This window comes from Homo sapiens, chromosome 13 (assembly GCF_000001405.40).
Source record: "Homo sapiens chromosome 13, GRCh38.p14 Primary Assembly".
Taxonomy (NCBI): Eukaryota; Metazoa; Chordata; class Mammalia; order Primates; family Hominidae; genus Homo; species Homo sapiens.
This window is the reverse complement of record NC_000013.11, coordinates 52,480,018-52,500,565: the sequence shown is the minus strand read 5'-3', so window position 1 is coordinate 52,500,565 and position 20,548 is coordinate 52,480,018. Positions and strand designations below refer to the sequence as shown.

General features: G+C 40.1%; 1 long non-coding RNA gene and 1 pseudogene across 2 annotated transcripts in view; one reads left to right on the top strand and one right to left on the bottom strand.

Annotated features, from left to right (window-relative positions):
* TPTE2P3 (TPTE2 pseudogene 3) overlaps window positions 1–11,573 on the bottom strand; it is a 98,103-nt pseudogene extending 86,530 nt beyond the window's left edge. Inside the window, exons 1-6 of the transcript NR_002793.2 lie at window positions 11,223–11,573; window positions 10,351–10,457; window positions 2,892–3,004; window positions 1,422–1,523; window positions 1,185–1,325; window positions 636–744 (exon numbers count right to left, since the gene is read on the bottom strand). The product of NR_002793.2 is annotated as a TPTE2 pseudogene 3 (transcript). The remainder of the gene's footprint in view (window positions 1–635; window positions 745–1,184; window positions 1,326–1,421; window positions 1,524–2,891; window positions 3,005–10,350; window positions 10,458–11,222) is intronic.
* LINC00345 (long intergenic non-protein coding RNA 345) overlaps window positions 1–18,084 on the top strand; it is a 118,126-nt gene extending 100,042 nt beyond the window's left edge. Inside the window, exon 3 of the long non-coding RNA NR_184203.1 lies at window positions 16,282–18,084. This is a non-coding gene — a long non-coding RNA (long intergenic non-protein coding RNA 345). The remainder of the gene's footprint in view (window positions 1–16,281) is intronic.
* The last annotated feature ends 2,464 nt before the right edge of the window (window positions 18,085–20,548 follow it).

The following is a 20,548-nucleotide window of genomic DNA, read 5'->3' as shown; positions in this document are numbered from 1 at the left end:
GGTGGGCTGTCTCCAAAACACTTTAGCTGATTCACAGATCTTAAAATGTCATATAATTGTAACAACCATCATGCTGCTTTGTAAGTCACCAATCTCACTAATAAAAGCCCATTTGTGGCCTTCACTGTAATAATTAACAATGTTTCAGGTGTTGAGATGGGACCACTGAAGCCCTTTCGGTGGCCATCTCTGTGGAGTGGCTTCCAGAGCTGAGCACTAGGTCACCATCCTGAACAGAGCATCCACCATTAGGGCAAGCAGCCACCCCTATAGGAAATATGAAAGCAACCAGTAGATGCATGTTATCACACTGCCTAAAAATGTCCTATTTTTAAGGACATTAACAGGCATAGAATGAAGCTTATTTTATTTTTACAATTTTTTTTCTATTTCTATTATTTTTCTACCTCATTACTTTCCTATTTCTATTTGCTGGGTCACAGACAGCAGCAAATTCCATACCTTTGGGGTTATACCAGCTCATGTGCAATAGAAATAGAAATATCAAAGCTCTCAGTCTACCACCTTCTGCTCCAGAGATGTGGCCCAAGCACACCTTTGGATGTGAACCAGGGCAACCCAAGGCAGAGCTGGATACCTGGGAGTTTCTCCCTGTAAGCCCTGGACCTGCTTACCTGAAAGCCAGACTGCTTCTGGCGCCACTGCCGCTCAGAAGAAGTTGGGGTCGGTTCAGCCGCTAAAATGACACAAGTCTCAGGTCTCGTGTCTTCAGTACAACTTTCTCTAAGAGGGAGAAATTTATTCAAGATCCTGTTAGCACTTTTCTCTCCTGTTGCCTTTCAGGATTATAGCTTTTCCTTTTTTCATTTTTTAATTCCCAAAACCAAGCTTGTTAGATCAAATCTTTACCCCATTCCTGGCAAATAACAAGGTTATTACTATTTGGCCCTACACCCACTAGTTGTCCCCCAGTACCCTGAGGATAAGGGGACTCCGTAAGGTCCCTGGGAGGGGAAAGGAATATCAATTAGTGGTCCCCCCAACTGGCTATAAGCAAACTTTCCTGTCTGTGGGCCCCAGAAACCACCACCTAGTTCCCCCACCAAAACTTTACATGATTTTAATTCTCCTGATGAGGATGAGAGGACAACATTAGCCAACAGAGAGGGCAGAGGATGGGATGGGACTACCTTGCTCAGAGACCCTCACCTCTAGGTCTTTACCTCGTATTGAGAATAAGCCAGTACTGGATTAAGAACTCTGTGTCCATGGCAACTCCAAACAGAATCCTGGTGCTCTTGAGATTCTCGTAGAGTAGGGAATAAAACGAGCTTGGTCCAAGACTGCAGAGACTTAAAAACACGCTGTTCTGCCACACATACAGATACTCATTAAAGATGAGGGAAAAGGGCATGGGGTCGGGGAGAACGTACCAAAACCAAAGACCACAGGATAATCACCTTAGAGCAGAGATGATCTCTCCAGTTATTTTTTCTTTTGTATGTAATGGAGGGGATTCTTCTTATTTACGCTGATGAACTTTTTATCAAGTGTTCGGCTTCCTTTGTGGGTTAGAGAGAATAACCAGAGGGCTCAGTGTTTTCTAGACCATATTAAATTTCACTAAAGTAAGCAAGGTTGATAGGACTTGCAGGGGAAACTTCATTGACTCAAGCTATCATTTTCTAGGATTGTGAGAAAATAAATAGGTGTACATTTAAAATACACCCATATTCTAGTTAGAAGAGAGGATTTTGAGTGTTCTTACAGCAAAGAAATGGTAAATGTTTAAGGCAATGGATATGCTAATTACCATGATTTGATCATTATACCATGTAAAATGTACTGAAACATCACACTGTACCTCATATGTACAATTTGTTATGTATACATTAAAATTTTGATTATAAGAAAAAATAAACTTCAAATGTAAGAAAACAACCCAACTTTTAAAAAATGGGCAAAATATGTGAACAGATACTTCACTAATAAAGATTTGCAACTGACAAGCCAATGAAAAGAGGGCCATCATAACTAGCTATTAGAGAAATGCAGATTCAAACTACAATAAGAAACCACTAGATACCTATTAGAATATCTAAAATTAGAAAGATGGCGTGTTGACAAAGATAGAGAGAAACTGAAACTCTCATACAATGCCAGGAATGTAAAGTGCTAGATCCACTTTGGAAAACAGTTTGGCAGTTTCTTAAGAAGTTAATTAGGTCTTCCAGTTCCCACTCCAACATGCAGAGAACTTGGAAGTCATCACTCCCATCTTCACAACAGGAAAAAAGATAATCAAACTGAAAATCAACAACTTTTCTTAGATCTGTCAGAGAATAGAGGTCACAGGGCAAACCACTTCCTCAAAAACTAGAGAGACACGTGACTACAGAACATCACAGTTTACCTGAGAGCAGAAGCCACAGGAGCCAGTAATTGGTAGGAACACTTAAATGCTAGTCAATTAATTACCGGTGGCTGAGTGTGGACTAGCTTGAGAGTTAAAAACTTGTTGAAGTCCCGCCTTGGGAACCCCTTATACTTTCATGAATGTTACTTCCAGAAACCCTAGCTGGTTCTCATGATGAAGGCTGAAGAAAATTTCCTCAGGCTCTTTAGGCAAGGAAAAGGGAAAAGCAACCATTTCAAAATATACCCTAGTTGGTGGATAGAGTGAGTGGGTACAGCAACCATTTTGAAATATGCCCAGAGCATTCTATTCTCTGTGTGAAAGCCCTGCCCTAAAGAAAAACTGCTTTATCAGGGCCTTGTCTGACATAGGGGAAAAGCAGTAAGACAACTCTAAACCCCTCTAGTTTTCCTGTCCCACATAAAAGGAGAGGAAAAAAAGAAATCATTACTAAGTCAGTATCAGAAAAATTTACACCTATGTTTTTGTCTAAGAGTACGGTTTGGGATCTTACATTTAGATATTTCTTCCATTTGAGGTTGATTTTTCTGTATGATGTGAGGAAGAGATCTAACTTCATCCACTTGCTGAAGAGACTGTTCTTTTCCACTGAATGGCCTTGATACCCTTGTGGAAAATCAATTGACCTTAAATGTATGAATTTACTTCTGGACTCTCAATTCTATTCCATTGATCTACATGTCTATCCTTATTCCAGTACTACACAATTTTAACCACTATAAGTAAGTTTTGAAATAATAAAGTGTGGACTCTGCAACTTCATTGTTCTTCTTCAAGATCATTTTGCTTCTTCGGAGTCCCTTGCATTTTCAAATGAATTTTAGGATCAGCAAGTCAATTTCTGCAAAATAGAAGCTAGGATTCTGATAGGAACTGAGTTGAATATGTAGATCAATTTGTGGAGTACTGTCATCTTAACAGTAATGTCTTCCATTCAATAAACCCAGAATGTGTATCTATTTATTTAGGTCTTTACTTAATCACTTTCAATAATGTTTTGTAGTCTTACATTTCTTTTGTTTTAGTCTTATTTTTTAATGCTATTGTAAATAAAATTACTTTCTTAATTTCATTTTCAGGCTACTCATTGCTAGTGTTTCTAAATATAACTTTTTGCACATTGATCTTATATCTTTTGTGAACTCAACTGTTGCTCCGGCAGGTTTGTTGTTGTTATCGTTGTTGTGGGTTCCTTAGATTTTCTATATACAACATTATTTATCTGCAAAAAATACAGTTTCACTTTTTCCATTCCAATCTAGATGCTTTTTCTTTTTTGTTGTTGGTTTTGTTTTGGTTTTTTTGTCTAATTATCCTGGCTAGAACCTCCAGTACAATGTTGAATAGAAAAAGCAAGAGCAGGCATCCTTGGCTTGTTCCTCATCTTAGGAGAAAAGCTTTAAGACTTTCACCACTAAGTTTAATGGTAGCCGTTGGTTTTCCATCACCACTCAACCAGGTATATAAGAAACATGTAAGGCAGTCCTACAGCTGGAAGCAAAAGGATGATATCTACCATCACAGAAACACATGAAAGTATAAAACCCACTGGTAGAGCAAGCACATAAATAAGAAGAACAATTCAAAAGTTATCACTAAAGAAAACCACCAATCCACAATGATCAACAATAAGAGAGAAAGAAAGGGACAAAGGACATATAAAGCAACCAGAAATCAATTAATAAAATGACAGGAATAACCCTCACATATCAAAAATAGTCTTCAATGTAAATAGATTAAACTTTCCACTGAAAAGACACAGACTGGCTGAACGGATTTAAAAAATAAACATGACCCAAATATATGCCAACTGCAAGAAACTCACCTCACCTGTGGAGACACACAGACTGAAAGGAAAGGACTGGAAAAAGATATTCTGTGCAAAGGGAAACCAAAAGTGATCAGGAGCAGCTATACTTATATCAGATAAAACAGACTTTAAGTCAAAAACAGTAAAAAGAGGCCAGGCACAGTGGCTCACGCCTGTAATCCCAACACTTTGGGAGGCTGAGGCGGGTAGATCACAAGGCCAGGAGTTCGAGACCAGCCTGGTCAACATGGTGAAACCCCATCTCTACCAAAAATACAAAAAATTAGCTGGGCATGGTGGCAGGCACCTGTAATCCCAGCTACTCAGGAGGCTGAGGCAGGAAAATCGCTTGAACCCAGGAGGCGGAGGTTGCAGTGAGCCGAGACCACACCACTGCACTCCAGCGTGGGCAACACAGCAAGACTCCATCTCAAAAACAAACAAACAAACAAAACAGTAAAAAGAGACAAAGATGGTCACTACAGAATGACATGGAGATACATTAGCAAGAGGATGTAACAGTTCTAAACATATATGCACTCAATACTGGGATACCCAGATATATAAAGCAAATGTCATTAGATCTAAAGGGAGAGATAGACTGCAATAATAGATGAGGACTTCAACACTCTACTCAGCATTAGACAGATCATCTAAACAGGAAATTAACAAAGAAACACTGATTTTAAACTGTGCTTTAGAACAAATGGATCTAACAGACATTTATAGAACATTTCATTCAACAGTTACAGAATACACATACCTCTTCACCAGCACATGAAACATTCTCCAAGATAGACCATATGTTAGGACATAGAATAAGTCTCAACAAATTTTCAAAAATCAAAATCATACCAGTATCTTCTCAGACCACAGTGACATAGGATAGGAAATCAATAACAAAGAAACTTTGGAATCTGTACAAATACGTGGAAATTAAACAACATGCTCCTGAATGACCTTTAGCTCAAGGAAGACATTAAAGAGGAAATCAAAAAATGTCTTGAAACAGGCTGGGTGTGGTGGCTCATGCCTGTAATCCTAGTACTTTGGGAGGCCAAGGTGGGTGGATTGCTTGAGCCCAGGAGTTTGAGACTGGCCTGGGCAACATAGTGAGATTCTGTCTCTACAAAAAAATACAAAAGTTAGCCAGGTATGCTAGTGTGTGCCTGTAATCTCAGCTACTCAGAAGGCTCAGGCAGAAGGATTGCTTGAGCCCAGGAGGTGGAAGTTCCAGTGAGCCAAGATCACGCCACTGCATTCCAGCCTGAGTGATAGAGAGAGAGACCCTGTCTCAAAAAATGAAATGTCTTGAAACAAGTGAAAATTGAAAACAACATAACAAAACCTATGGGATACAACAAAAGCAGTGCTAGGAGGGAAGTTTATAGCAATAAACACCTATATTTTAAAAGTAGAAAGATTTCAAATAAACAAACTAATGATAACTTCAAAGAACTAGAAAAGCAAGAACAAAGCAAACCTCAAATTAGTAGAAGGACAGACATAATAAAGATCAGAGCAGAACTAAATGAAATAGATTTCAAAAACAATATAAAGAATCAATGAAACAAAAAGTTCCTTTTTCAAAAAGGTAAGCAAAATCAATAAACGGCTAGTTAGACTAAACAAGAAAATGAAAAAGATGATCCAAATAAACAAAATCCAAGATGAAAAATAAGACATTACCAGACACAGTGGCTAATGCCTGTAATCCCAGCATTTCTGAGAGGCTGAGGCAGGTGGATTGCTTGAGCTCAGGAGTATGAGACAAACCTGGGCAACATGGCGAAACTCTGTCTCTAAAAAAAAAATACAAAAATTAGCTGGGCATGGTGGCATATGTTTGTAGTCCCAGCTACTCAGAAGTCTGGGGTGGGAAGATCTCGTCGGCCCAGGAGCTTGAGGCTGCAGTGAGTCATGATCACACCACTGCACTCCAGCCTGGGTGACAGAGTGAGACCGTGTGTCAAAAAATAAAGAAATAAATAAACGAATAAAAGTAGACATTACAACTGACACCACAGAAATACCAAAAGTCATCAGACAGTATTATGAACAACTATATATTAATAAACTAGAAAACTTAGAGGAAATGCATAAATTCCTTGACACATATAACCTACCATGATTGAATCAGGAATAAATAGAAAACCTGAAGAGACCAATCATGAGTAATGAAATTGAATCCATAATAAAAAAGAATCCAAACAGTGAAAAGCCCAGGACCCAATGGCTTCACTGCTAATGACTTCACTACCAAATTCTACCAAACTTACAAAGACAAACTAACACCAGTTCTCCTCAAACTAGTCCAAAAAATTGAAAAGGAGGGAATTCTTCCTCATTCTACTAGGCTAGCAGTACCCTGATACCAAAACCAGATAAGAATGCAACAAAAAAAAACAGTTACACTCTAATATCCCTGATAAACATAGATGTAAAAATCCTCAACAAAATACTAACCAACTGAATCCAACAGCATATCAACAAGATAACATACCAGGATCAGGTGGGATTTGTCCCAGAAATGCAAATGTAGTTCAACATACATCAATCAACAAAGATAACACACCACATCAACAGAATGAAGAACAAAACCATATGATCATTTCAAGAGATGTAGAAAAAGGGTTTGATAAAATTCAAAAGATCTTCATGATAAAAACTCTCAACAAACTAGGCATTGAAGGAGCCTATTAATACCTCGACATAATAAAGGCTACATATGACAAACCCACAGTTAACACCATCCTATCGTGGCTTTCAGCTTTTCCTCTAGGAACTGGAACAAGACAAGGATGTCTATTTTTGCCACTCCTATTCAACACAGTACTGGAAGTCTTAGCCAGAGCAATCAGACAATAGAAACAAATAAAAGACATCCAAATTGGAAAAGAGGAAGTAAAACTGTCCCTCTTTGTAGATGACATGATCTTGTATCTAGAAAAACCTAAAGACTCCACCAAAAACTCTTAGATCTGATAAGTAAGTTCAGTAAAGTTATAGGATACAGCCAGGTGCGGTGGCTCATGCCTGTAATCCCAGCACTTTCAGAGACCGAGGCAGGAGAATCACCCGAGGTCAGGAGTTCAAGACCAGCCTGACCAATACGGTGAAACCCCATCCCTACTAAAAACACAAAAATTAGCCAGGCCTGGTTGCGTGCGCCCGTAGTTCCAGCTACTCAGGAGACTGAGACAGGAGAATGGCTTTAACCCAGGAGGCGGACACTGCAGTGGGCCAAGATGGCACCACTGCACTCCAGCCTGGACTACAGAGCAAGACTCCATTCAAAAAAAAAAAAAGTTGGAGGATACAAAGTCAACATACAAAAATTAGTATCATTTCTACACACCAATAATAAACTAGCTGAGAAAGAAATCAAGAAGGAAATCCCATTTATCATAGCTCAAGAAAATAAAATACCTAGGAAAAAAATTTAACGAAGTAGGTGAAAAACCTCTACAAGGACAACTACAGAACATTGATGAAAGCAATTGAGAAGGACATAAAGAAATGGAACGACAACTCATGCTCATGGATCAGAAAAAAATCAATATTGTTAAAATGACCATACAACCCACAGCAATACACAGATGCAATAAAATCCCTATCAACATACCAGTGTCATTCTTCACAGAAGTAGAAAAAATAATCCTAAAATTCATATGGAACCAAAAAAGAGCTCGAATAGAGAAGCAATCCTAAGTAAAAAGAAAGCTGGAGACATTATACTATCTGACTTCAACATATATTACAAGGCTCTAGTGACCAAAACGGCATAGTATTGGTATAAAAACAGGTATAAAATGAAACAGAATAGAAAACTCAGAAATAGATCCATACATTTACAGCCAACTGATTTTCAACAAAGGTGTCAAGGACACTCATTGGGGAAAGGACATCCTCTTCAATAAATGGTACTAGGAAAATTGGATATCCATATGTATGCAAAAGAACACAACTAACCTCCTACCTTTCGCGATACACAAAAATCAACTCAAGATGGATTAAAGACTTAAGCATAAGCCCCAAAACCATAAAACTACCAGAAGAAAACTTAGGGGAACCACTTCAGGACACTAGGAAAAGATTTTATGGCTGAGACTTCAAAAGCACGGCAACAAAAACAAAAGTAGACAAATTGGACTATATTAAACTAAAAAGCTTCTGCACATCAGAGGAAACAGCAGAGTGAAGAGACAACCTGTTGAATGGGAGAAAATATTTGCAAACTATTCATCCAACAAGGAATTAATATCTAGAATACACGAGAAACTCAAACACCTCAACAGTAAAAAATAATAATCATTCCATTTAAAAGTGGGAAAAGGGTCAGGCATGATGGCTCATGCCTGTAATCCTAACACTTTGGGAGGCTGATGCAGGTGGACTGCCTGAGCCCAGGAGTTTGAGACCACCTTGGGTAACATAGTAAAACCCCGTCTCTACAAAAACATACAAAAATTAGGCTGGGTTTGGTGGCTCATGCCTGTAATCCCAGCACCTGGGGAGGCCGAGGCAGTAAGATTGCTTGAGCCCAAGAGTTCAAGCCCAGCCTGGGCAACATAGTGAGACCTCATCTCTACAAAAATCAAAAAACGAGGTGGGAGGATCACTTGAGCCCAGGAGATTGAGGCTAGAATGAGCAGTGATAGCACCACTGCACTCCCATCCTGTCTCCAAAAAAAAAACAAATACAAAAACAAAAACAAAAAGCACACACACACATACAAATTAGCTGGGCACAGTGGGACGTGCCTGTGGTCTCAGCTACTCTGGAGGCTGAAGCAGGAGAATCATCTGAGACCAGGAAGTGGAGGCTGCAGTGACTCGTGATTGCACCACTGCACTCCATCCTGGACAACAGAGCAAAACCCTGACTCCAATAAATGAATGAACGAATGTGGGCAAAGGACATAAATAGATATTTCTCCAAAGAAGACACACAGGTATATGAAAAAATGCTCGACGTCACTAATAATAAGGGAAATGAAAATTAAAACCACAATGAGATATCATCTTCACCCAATGAGAACGGCTATGATTAAAAAGACAAAATAATAATGGATGTGGGCGAGGATGCAGAGAAAGGGGAACTCTTATGTGTGGGAATGTAAATGAGTACAGTCACTATGGAAAACAGTATGGAGATTTCTCAGGAAACTGAAAATAGAGCTACCATACAATCCAGCAATGCCACTACTGGCTGTTTATCTAAAGGAAAAAAACCAGTATATCAAAGGGATGATACCTGTACTTCCATGTTTACCGCAGCACTATTCACAAGCAAAAATATAGAATCTGCCTAAGTGTCCATCAACAGACAAATGGATAAAGAAAATGCGATATATATAATCAAGTACTATTCAGCCATAAAAAAAGAATGAAATCATGTCGTTTGCAGCAACCTGGATGGAACTGGAAGTCATTGTTACGTGAAGTAAGCCAGGCACAGAGAGACAAATATTGCATGTTATCACATACGTAGGAGCTAAAAAAGTTGACGGTGGACAGATAGATACCAGAGGCTAGGAAGGGTGTGTGGGTTGGCAGGGAAGAGTGGTTGGTTAATACAGTTAGATAGAAGGAGTTAAGTTCTAATGTTCTATAGCAGAGTAGGGTGACTACAGTGAACAACAATGTATTGTATATTTCAAAATAGCTGTAAGAGAAGACTTGAAATGTTCCCAACATATGGCAATGACAAATACTCAAAGTGACAGATACCTTAAATACCCTGATTGATCCTTACATATTCTATGCATGTAACAACATATCACATGTACATATGTACCACACAAATATGTACAAATATTTGTTGTGTACCAATTAAAAATAAACAAAACTTGAAAAATACATTATATCTACACAATGAAATATTATTCAGCATTAAGACACTGCAAGTTGGATGAACCTTGAAAACATGCTACATGAAAGAGTGCATGAAAGATCACAAATTGGGCTGAGCGTGGTGGCTCACGCCTGTAATCCCAGCACTTTGGAAGACCAAGGCAGGCGCATCGCTTGAGCTCAGGACTTCCAGAGCAGCCTGGGCAACATGACGAAGGCCGTCTCTACAAAGAAATTAGGCAGGCGTGGTGGTGCGCGCCTGTGGTCCCAGCTACTGGCTACTCACCAGGGTGATACAGGAGGATCACTTGAGCCTTTCCTGCCTGCTTCGCTGAAGGCATCATGCACTTTCACGGCTGGGATCAACTCTTCTGGAAGCAGGTCCTAGCAGGACTGTGGGTGTCCACATCCAGGATTAGGGTCCTGCATAGAGCTTGGAATACTTACCCCTCAATCTGGGGGGAGGAGCAGGGGCTGGCGCCTTAAGGACTTACTGTCCTTCTGACCAATCCTGATGTTTCCAAGGCACTGGGGTTTTCAGGACTGGATAAGACTGTTCTAAGGCCACAGTGTGGCAACTGCAGTGTGGCAACTGCAGCGAGTCAGAGGCCAAATCCTCAACTCTGGCACTGTCTAAAGTGCCTTTCTTGGCACTTTCTGGTGAGGTGGCTCACACCTATAATCCCAACACTTTGGGAGGCCAAGGCGGGTGGATTAGTGGAGATCAGGAGTTCGAGACCAGCCTGGCCAACATGATGAAAACCCGTCTCTACCAAAAATGCAAAAATTAGCCAGGCATGGTGGCGCGCGCCTGTCATCCCAGCTACCCGGGAGGGTGACGCAGGAGAATCGCTTGAACCCGGGAGGCAGAGCTTGTAGTGAGCCGAGATCGCACCACTGCACTCCAGCCTGGGCGACAGATCAAGACTCCGTCTCAAAATAATAATAATAATCATGATTCTAAAAATCAAATAAATCGAGTGCCTTTCTTGCCCATTCCATGTCTCACCACAACTCTATTAAGCAGGTATTAATGGCTCTCCATGGCTATAATAGAGGAACTCTGGGCCTTATATTCCACCTCTCGCCCAACCCGTGACAGCCAGTGACTAGCGGAGGTTCAATAAACAGTAGTCGGTCTTATTACTATCTTATTACCAGTCTCTCCGTGGAGTTCCAGCAAGAAGGGGTTCCACACCTCGTTGGGGACCAGCTCCCGAGCAGGGCTCCGAGCACCCTCTTGAGGCAGTGACGCGAGGGCCTGCGGGGGCTCCGAGGCTCCTCCAGGCCTCGTGGGCCCTCACAGAAATGGCAGGGCATTGGGACAAGCTGCTCCGGCTGCGCAGGCCGAAAGGTCCCTCGAGCATCCAGAAAGCTCGCCTGACCCTTATAGGCGAGGTGAGGCCCCCAACTCATATCCTGGGGAAACCATGGAGGGGGAATTCGGTTTCCACAGGCGAAGTCAACCGAAACGGCCCGCCATGTTGAAGCCTGAGCAGAGCTCCCGTCAGGCCCCGCCCCCCGGCGCCAGGCTCGCTGGGCAGCGCCTCCTCCCGGAGGTCCCTCCGCTGGTTCCTTCATTCCGCTGGTTCCTTCATTTCGCTGAATGGTGAGTGAGCCAAGCACAAGCTGAACTGCGGGCAGGCAGTGAGCAGATACACAGGGGCCCCGAACTCAAGATAAATAAATGAATAAATACTCAAACTTGTTCTTATAACCCAAGGCAACTGATAGGCCCATTTAGGCTCTGGCTTCCAGTGACAATGAGTTCTAGATGACAAGCCTCAGAAGGAAGAGCCCCTCTCCTTGTCTGCGCTCCTGCCCTAAGCACGAAGACTCAGCTTTGGTCCTCACAGATAATCATTGCCATTCACCATTGGTGATTAACTCAGTCATCACTCTGGAGATTCCAAGGACTTCAGGAGCTGTGTGTCAGGAACTAAGGACAAGGACCAAATGTTATTTTTATTATAATATCAACAGCCAAAAATTTCAACACCCTTTGAATTTCAACATCTTTTGAAAAAGATGGGAGATGAATACTCTCATCTTTTACCACTGAGTTCTGATGCCATGTCTGTCATTTATATTTCCATATATGATTTGGGCTCTTTCTAGGCCCTCTTTCATTTCATTAGCTTATACATCTATCTCTGCACCAATACTACACTGTTTAACTTAACTTTTTAATAATTATTTAAATCTGGTAGAACAAGTCTCCCACTTTGGTGCTTTGTTTTTAAACATAGGCTCTTCCTCATGAATTGTGACATTAGCTTGTTCAGTATTGTAAAAAAATCCTCTTGAGTTTGTATTGGAATTGCATCAAGTTTATGGATTAATTTTGGGAGAATTGACATCTTCATGATTCCATAATGATTATGTTGTTATTTTTAGTAGTGTTGCATTTAAAATTATGTTTTCTGAGTTGTTGTTGCTGGTATATAGAAATGCAATCTTTTTTTGTATATCAATTCTGCATTCGGAAAACTTGTTGCACTCTTTTATTAACTTTGTCTATAGATTGTCCAAGAGAGGCAGCAAAGTGTGATGGTAAACAGTAGACAGCCCCTTCTACTTTCTTTATTTTGTTGCCCTTTATCTAACATCTTAAACTGAATACTTAACTCAATAAGTAGTCCTTATTCCTTTTCAATGCCAGCATCTGAAAAAAATAAATGCTTCTCTAATTACTTTATCTAGTGTGTTGAGGGACCCAATGCTGCCACCGTATTCAATAAGGAGCTAGAAGGACTCACAGAACTTAGACAAGCTGTTCTATTCACGGTTATGGTTTATTACGATGAAAGGCTATAGAATACATTCGGAAGGAAAAGGCACTTAGGGCAGAGTCCAGGCAGAACCAGGAGCAGCTTCCAGTTGTCCTCTCCCTGTGGAGTTATATGAACAGAACTTAATTCTCCCAGCAATGACGTGTGACAATATGGACAAAGAATTGTCAACCAGGGATGCTCACACAAACTTTTGTGTCCAAGGTCAGCTGCATAGGCATGAAGACCCCCGACTATTGACCCTTAATACTCAGTCTCCAACCCATTCCTCCCTATGAAGTCAAACTCATACAATATGACCCAGGGCTCCAGGCAAGCAAAAACAGGTGTTCACCATAAATTACATTATTAGCACAAACTCTGGCATTGCCCAAGGCCCGAGGTATACAAAGACACTCTTATCAGGCAGGATATTTCAAGAGCTAATAGTTGGTCAAGAGTCAGTCTTTTCTTTGAGGCATGCAATCCCATAGCTGCTGAGTCAACCCTTTACTATTCACTTATATTTTATGAGTTCGATTTATACTTCTATTGTTAATTTTATTTCTAAGTCTATAAAGTATATTTTTTACCTTTTAAAAAATATAAATGATAGATACTATATAATATTATACAACTCCTACACATTGCTTTTGTCACTTGAAGTTCTTCCATATTTGTAAAATAATTGTTTTTTATTCTTTTGGATGGCTGCATTTTATTTACCAATTTTCTATTGATAGATATTAGTATTTTTTGGTCCAATTTTTTGCTACTCAAAATAAGATTAATAACGTGTGTGTGTGTGTGTGTGTAATTTTACTTATGTTCTAACATATTTGTAAGATATATTCCCAAAGTAAAATTATTGGATTAAATGATATGTTCAGATGGTATATTCATCTGTAATATTAATAGATCTTGCCTTTCAGTAAACTATTGCCCTTAAAGATTTCACCAACTTTTATTCACCTGCAACGTAAGAAAGTACCTGCTTCCCCATACTCTTGCCAACTAAGTGTATTTTAAAATACTTCTATAATACCTGGTGTACTCCAGCACTACAGGAATAATATATTTGTAGCTTTCATTTTTATTTTATTCATCATGAGTGAGGTTGAGCATCTTTTCACGTTTGAGTCACTTTTTTTTTTTTTTTTTTTTTGAGACAGAATCTTGCTCTATCACCCAGGCTGGAGTGCCGGAGGTGATCTTGGCTCACTGCAACCTCTGCCTCCCGGGTTCAAGCCATTCTCCTGCCTCAGCCTCCCAAGTAGCTGGGACTACGGACCTGTGCCACCGCACCCAGCTAACTGTTGTATTTTTAGTAGAGACGGGGTTTTGCCATGTTGGTCAGGCTGCTCTCGAACTCCTCGGTCTCCCAAAGTGCTGGGATTACAGGCACGAGCCACCGCACCTGGCCTTGAGTCACTTTTATTTCTTTTCAATGAACTGTTTGTGTATACTTTTTGTCCATGTTTCTGGTGGCTTATTCATCTTTTCCTTATTGATCTGAAAGAGCTCTTTTACACTGGTGATGTTAGCTGTCTATATGCATTATGAATTGGAAATATTTTTCCCAATTTGTTATCTAACTTTTTATTTATTGTGGATTTTGCCACACATTTTTAAACAATTTAATTCATCAGTCTTCTAGTTTTAGGAGGTCTTTTGCTATATTGTGCTTTTTAAAAAGAACTGTAAAGTTATAAAAATTATTCTCAATGTTTCTTTGACTCATTTTATTGTTTTATTTTAAAATTTAAATCTTTTGGGCCTGGCACAGTGGCTCACACCTGTAATCCTAATGCTTTGAGAGGCTGAGATTGGAGGATCACCTGATTCCAGGAGTTTGAGACCAGCCTACGCAACATAGTGAGACCCAGTTTCTAGAAAAAAAAAACAAAACTAACAATTAGCCAAGCAGCCAGGTATGGTGATGCACACCTGTAGTCCCAGCTACTCAGCAGACTGAGGAGAGAGGATCACTTGAGTCCAGGAGCTCAAGGCTGTAGTGAGTCTCTGGACTCCAGCAGCCTGGATGACAGCGTAAGACTCTGTCTCTTAAAAAAATAAAAAGAATCTTTTATTCATCTGAAATATACCTTGGTGTAAGATATAAAGTAGAGCTAAACTAATTTTTATTATTCCAAATGGCTACTCATTTATCCCAACACCATTTGTTGAATTTTCTATTTATCACTAATTTGAAAAGCCACCTTTATCATTGTGTAAAGTGCCACATGTATTAGGATCTATTCATAGACATTCAGTTCTGTTTCATTCATCAGTCTATTTAATCACACTTTTTTTTTTTTTTCTTTGAGACAGAGTCTCGCTCTGTCACCCAGGCTGGAATGCAGTGGTGCGATCTCAGCTCACTGCAACCTCCGCCTCCCGAGTTCAAGCAATTTTTCTGACTCAGCCTCCTGAGTAGCTGGGATTACAGGCACGCACCACCACACCCAGTTAATTTTTGTATTTTTAGTAGAGATGGGGTTTCACCGTGGTGGTCAGGCTGGCCTCGAACTCCTGACCTTGTGATCTGCCTGCCTCAGCCTCTCAAAGTGCTGGGATTACAGGCGTGAGCCACTGTGCCCAGCCTTAATCACACTTTTTATGGTGTGCAGAGGTAGGTGACAAAGGCCAGCGTTGACTTCTTTGAGATGTAAAATTTTGGTTGAGGTATAACAAACATACCCAAAAGTGCACAAATCACAAGTATGAAGTTCAATGAGCATTCACAGTGTAAATACACAGTACAGTATGTACTCAGTACTCATAACCAGTACTCAGACCAAAGAGCAAAACATTACCAGTACTTAGAAGCCTCCTTCTAGTTACCGCCCTCCTGAGGCTAACCACTGCCTGACTTACTTCTGATTTCTAATAGGATAATTCATTTAGGAGTTGAATTATTCAGTATACTCTTCTCTACCTTCTTTCCCTCAATATTATGCTTATGAGATGCAGCTACTTTGATGCATATAGTTGTAGTTCGTTCAAACTCATTGCTGTAGAGTTTCCCACTATATAAATGTAACATGTTGTATTCTCAACATGGGATGTGCATCTAAGTTATGAAGCATAACAATTAAATAACATCCATAAACCCATGACCTCATGCAGTATGAAACATTTCTAGTCCTGTGGAAGCTACAGGACTGCTGGAATTTCTTCTCTGATCCAGTCCCCTTGCTTCGCAACAGAGGTGACCACTCTTCTGAAGGTTATGTTCATAATCCCTGTGCTTTTCTTTATAGTCTAGATATGTATCTATGTATAGACAGGGGAGATGTAGATGTAAATATAGATATATCTGAAAATATATTACTTTGTGACAGTTATTTTTAAGCTTTATACAAATGGATATCGTGCTGAAGTGGTATTTACCTTGAAGCACACTGTGATCATGACATATTTTGATGTTCACTTCCCATGTTTAGGTTCCTGCTTCTCCACGCCAATGACATGGTGAGAGAATACAGGGGGAGCTGAAGACAAACAACATAAACTTATGTTTGCAAAGCACCTTTTACTCTGTGAAATAAAGTGAGTGCAAGCAGTAAATGGAACAACAAGCTTTCAGAGTCACTGCAGGGCAAGAGCTGGGGAAGGAAGAGCTGGCTGGTCAGGGAGGATGCACTGGAGAGAAAAACCATCACTCAATTGGCTAGGACATTCCAGGACATCAGGGAGACCACACAACAGCCAGAGTGTCTCTTCTCCTCCAAATGAACGCAACACCTCTCCAGCAAGGGCACAGAACTGGGCTGAGGCTGAGTATTGCTGAGGCAATACCGTTTAGAACATAGGCACGGGTAAGGATTTCATGACAAAAACACCAAAAGCAATTGCAACCAAAGCAAAAATTGATAAATGGGATCTAATTGAACCTAAGAGCTTCTGCATAGCAAAAGAAACTATCATCGGAGTGAACAGACAGCATACAGAATGGGAGAAAATTTTTGCAATCTGTCTGTCTGACAAAGGCCTAATATCCAGAATCTATAAGGAACTTAAACAAATTTACAAGAAAAAAAACAACCCCATTAAAAAGTAGGCAAAGAACATAAACACACACTTCTCAAAAGAAGGCATTCATGTGGCCAACAAACATATGGAAAAAAAAAGCTTAACATCACTGATCTTTAGAGAAAGGCAAATCAAAACCACAATGAGATATCATCTCATGCCAGTCAGAATGGCAATTATTAAGAAGTCCAGAAACAACAGATACTGGCAAGGTTGCAGAGAAAAAGGAAAGCTTTTACACTGTCGATGGGAATGTAAATTAGTTCAACCCTTGTGGAAGACAGTATGGCAATTCCTCAAAGATCTAAAGGCAGGAATAGCATTTGACGCAGCAATCCCATTACTGGATATATACCCAAAGGAATATAAATCATTCTGTTATAAATATACATGCACCTGTATGTTTATTGCAACACTATTCACAATAGCAAAGACATGGAATCAACCCAAATGCCTATGAATGATAAACTGGATAAAGACAATGTGGTACACATACACCATGGAATACTATGCAGCCATAAAAGGGAAGGAGATCATGTCCTTTGTAGGGACACAGATGGAGCTGGAAGCTGTTATCTTCAGCAAACTAATAGAGGAACAGAAAACAAAACAACACATGTTCTCACTTATAAGTGGGCGCTGAATGATGAGATCACATGGACACATGGCAGGGAAGAAAACACACTGAGGCCTGTTGCGGGGAGGGCCTGATGGGGGGAGGGAGAGCATCAGGAAGAACAGATAATGGATGCTGGGCTTAATACCAAGGTGATGGGTTGATCTGTGCAGCAAACCACCATGGCACACATTTACCAATGTAACAAAACTGCACATCCTGCACATGTACTCCAGAACTTAAAATAAAAGTTGAAGGAAACAAAAACAAAAATGAGGCCGGACGTGGGAGCTCACCCCTGTAATCCCAGCACATTAGGAGACCAAGGTGGATTGTTCACGAGGTCAGGAGTTTGAGACCAGCCTGACCAACATGGTGAAACCCCATCTCTACTAAAAATACAAAAATTAGCCAAGTGCGGTGGGGGGCACCTGTAATCCCAGCTACTCAGGAGGCTGAGGCAGGAGAATCACTTGAACCTGGGAGGTGGAGGTTGCAGTGAGCCAAGATGGCGCCATTGCACTCCAGCCTGGGTGACAGAGCAAGACTTCATCTCAAAACAAAACAAAAAACAAAAATAAAAAACCCTTTATAAATATTTGTTAAATTGGTAGGATTGTTAGCATAATTTACAAAAATTTTATTCACATTATACTATAACATATCTAAATAACATTCGTGTTAACAAATATCAACGGTTCTTTGATTTAAAAGTGGTGAAAAACAAGCTAATCATAAGTTTTATATACACCCATATATTTTCCAATAGCATGACACTGTCCAGATATTTAGAAATAGGCTATCCGGAAAAGAAAGAACTTGCTGAACTCCAGAAAATATAAAGTAGATACAATTCAAGGTTTTTGAACCTTGGAAAAGGAAGGGTAATTTTCTATAAATAATTTTTTCACAACTGTGTTTCTTATATTCATACCCGGGTATCTTAATTGGTGTATTACCAATTTGCTTCGCTAGATAGAGATATGAGGCCCAAGAACTACAAATTTCTTCAAAAATGAAGCATAGCTCTTGATATTTTGAAAAACATAATTTATTTATAGAAGAGAAACTACAGCCTGTAAGACATCTTCTTAAGGGAGACGATCTTCCATGTAATAAATTGTTGGCCCCAGGGAGAAACGTTTGCTGGGATTGATGGTGAGTAGTTTACTAGTTAATATTTCATCAGTGTACTGAGTAGATTTTTTCATTTATTCGCCCACATATATATATATATATATATATATATATATATATATATATATATATATTTTTTTTTTTTTTTTTTTTTTTTTTTTTTTGAGACGGAGTCTCGCTCTGTCTCCCAGGCTAGAGTACAGTGGCGCGATCTCTGCTCACTGCAAACTCCGCCTCCTGGGTTCACGCCATTCTCCTACCTCAGGCTCCCCAGTAGCTGGGACTACGGGTGCCCGCCACCACGCTCGGCTAATTTTTTTTTTTTTTTTTGTATTTTTTAGCAGAGACGGGGTTTCACCATGTTAGCCAGGATGGTCTCGATCTTCCGACCTCGTGATCCGCCTGCCTCGGCCTCCTAAAGTGCTAGATTACAAGCGTGAGCCACCGTGCCCGGCCAACAATTCTTAATTAATGAAAATACGCCTATGTGTAAGGGGCCCTGGACAATTACTCATCATGAGCCCTTCTTTTTTAAGTCTTTCACAGATCGTCGCAGTAAACAAAACTGTAAGACAAATTAGATAAAGAAACATGCCCATCCGCTCTGAAAGCTTGGTTAAACCAATTTTGAAGACTAAATTGTAACTTTAGACCAGTTTGCCATCCAAAGGTTTCTCTTTCTAGTTTCAGTTTCCTCTAAGCCAGGAAGAAGTTTCAGGAGATTCACAGGTTATGTAAATGAGTAAAGCAAGATAATAGGGAGTGTTAGAAACTCTGGAAAACTGGATTGCATCAGCCCCGTCAAAAAAGAATTCAAATTAAAATGTTTTGTCCAAAATTCACGTGTGGGCCTGAGTCAGTGCTCAGGTAACCAGACATCAGCCTTTGTTTTTTAAAAAGTTAGTATACCTAACTGAATGAAGTTTACATTAACTGGAATCCAGAGCTGTTTTATACAGCTCTTTGCTCAACTTCTCTTACTAAATTCCTAGATGTTTATTCAGAATTGACCTCTCTCCTGCTTCATCATCTAGCAACCGTACTAACACCATACATAGCTTGCTGCTGTCAGCAGAAAGGTACTATTAAGGGATATGGCTAGCTGCTCTTAGGAACTCATTAAAGCTATAGAGGAACTGCAGTCATGCAACATTCATCCAACAGGTATTTATAGAGCACCTACTCTGAGCATAACGAAATATCACAAAGCCATCTAGGGCAGGTTTTTCCATTTGTCCACCCCTGTTGTACCAAAAGGATTTGGATTTAGCAAATCAAGGCGTCAGTTTCCTTTCTTAGTCCTTTGGATAAACTGGTGCCTTTCATTTACCAGGAGCAAAACATTTTTTCCTTGTTATTTATAACTAAAATCACAGCAAATCTGCTTCTCATCTTGTATTTCTGAAATTGCTATAAAGTTATTCTGAACACTATACAAGTCAGTTCAGCCGATATATGTGGAGTGCAGGTACTCTACTCAACCATATGTGGAGAGTCAAAAGGCCTTTGGCCCTTATGGAGTTTATGACCTAAAATGACCACTTAGGGCTGGACGTGGTGGCTCACGCCTATAATCCCAGAACTTTGGGAGGCTGAGGCAGGAGGATTGCTTGAGCCCAGGAGTTTGTCACCAGCCCAGACAACATAGTGAGATTTCAATGCTACTAAACATTTAAAAATTACCCAGACATGGTGGCGCATGCCTGCAGTCAGGGGGCTGAGGCAGGAGGACTGTCAGCCCAGTAGTTCAAGGTTGCAGTGAGTTACGGTCAAGCCACTACATTCCAGGATGGATGACAGAATGAGACCGTGTCTCTAAAAAATATAAAAATAAAAATAATAAAATGACTGCCTACAACTCCGGTACACATTAAATGAATATACAAAATTATAATTGCACAAAAAACACAGAGCTTATTTTAGGA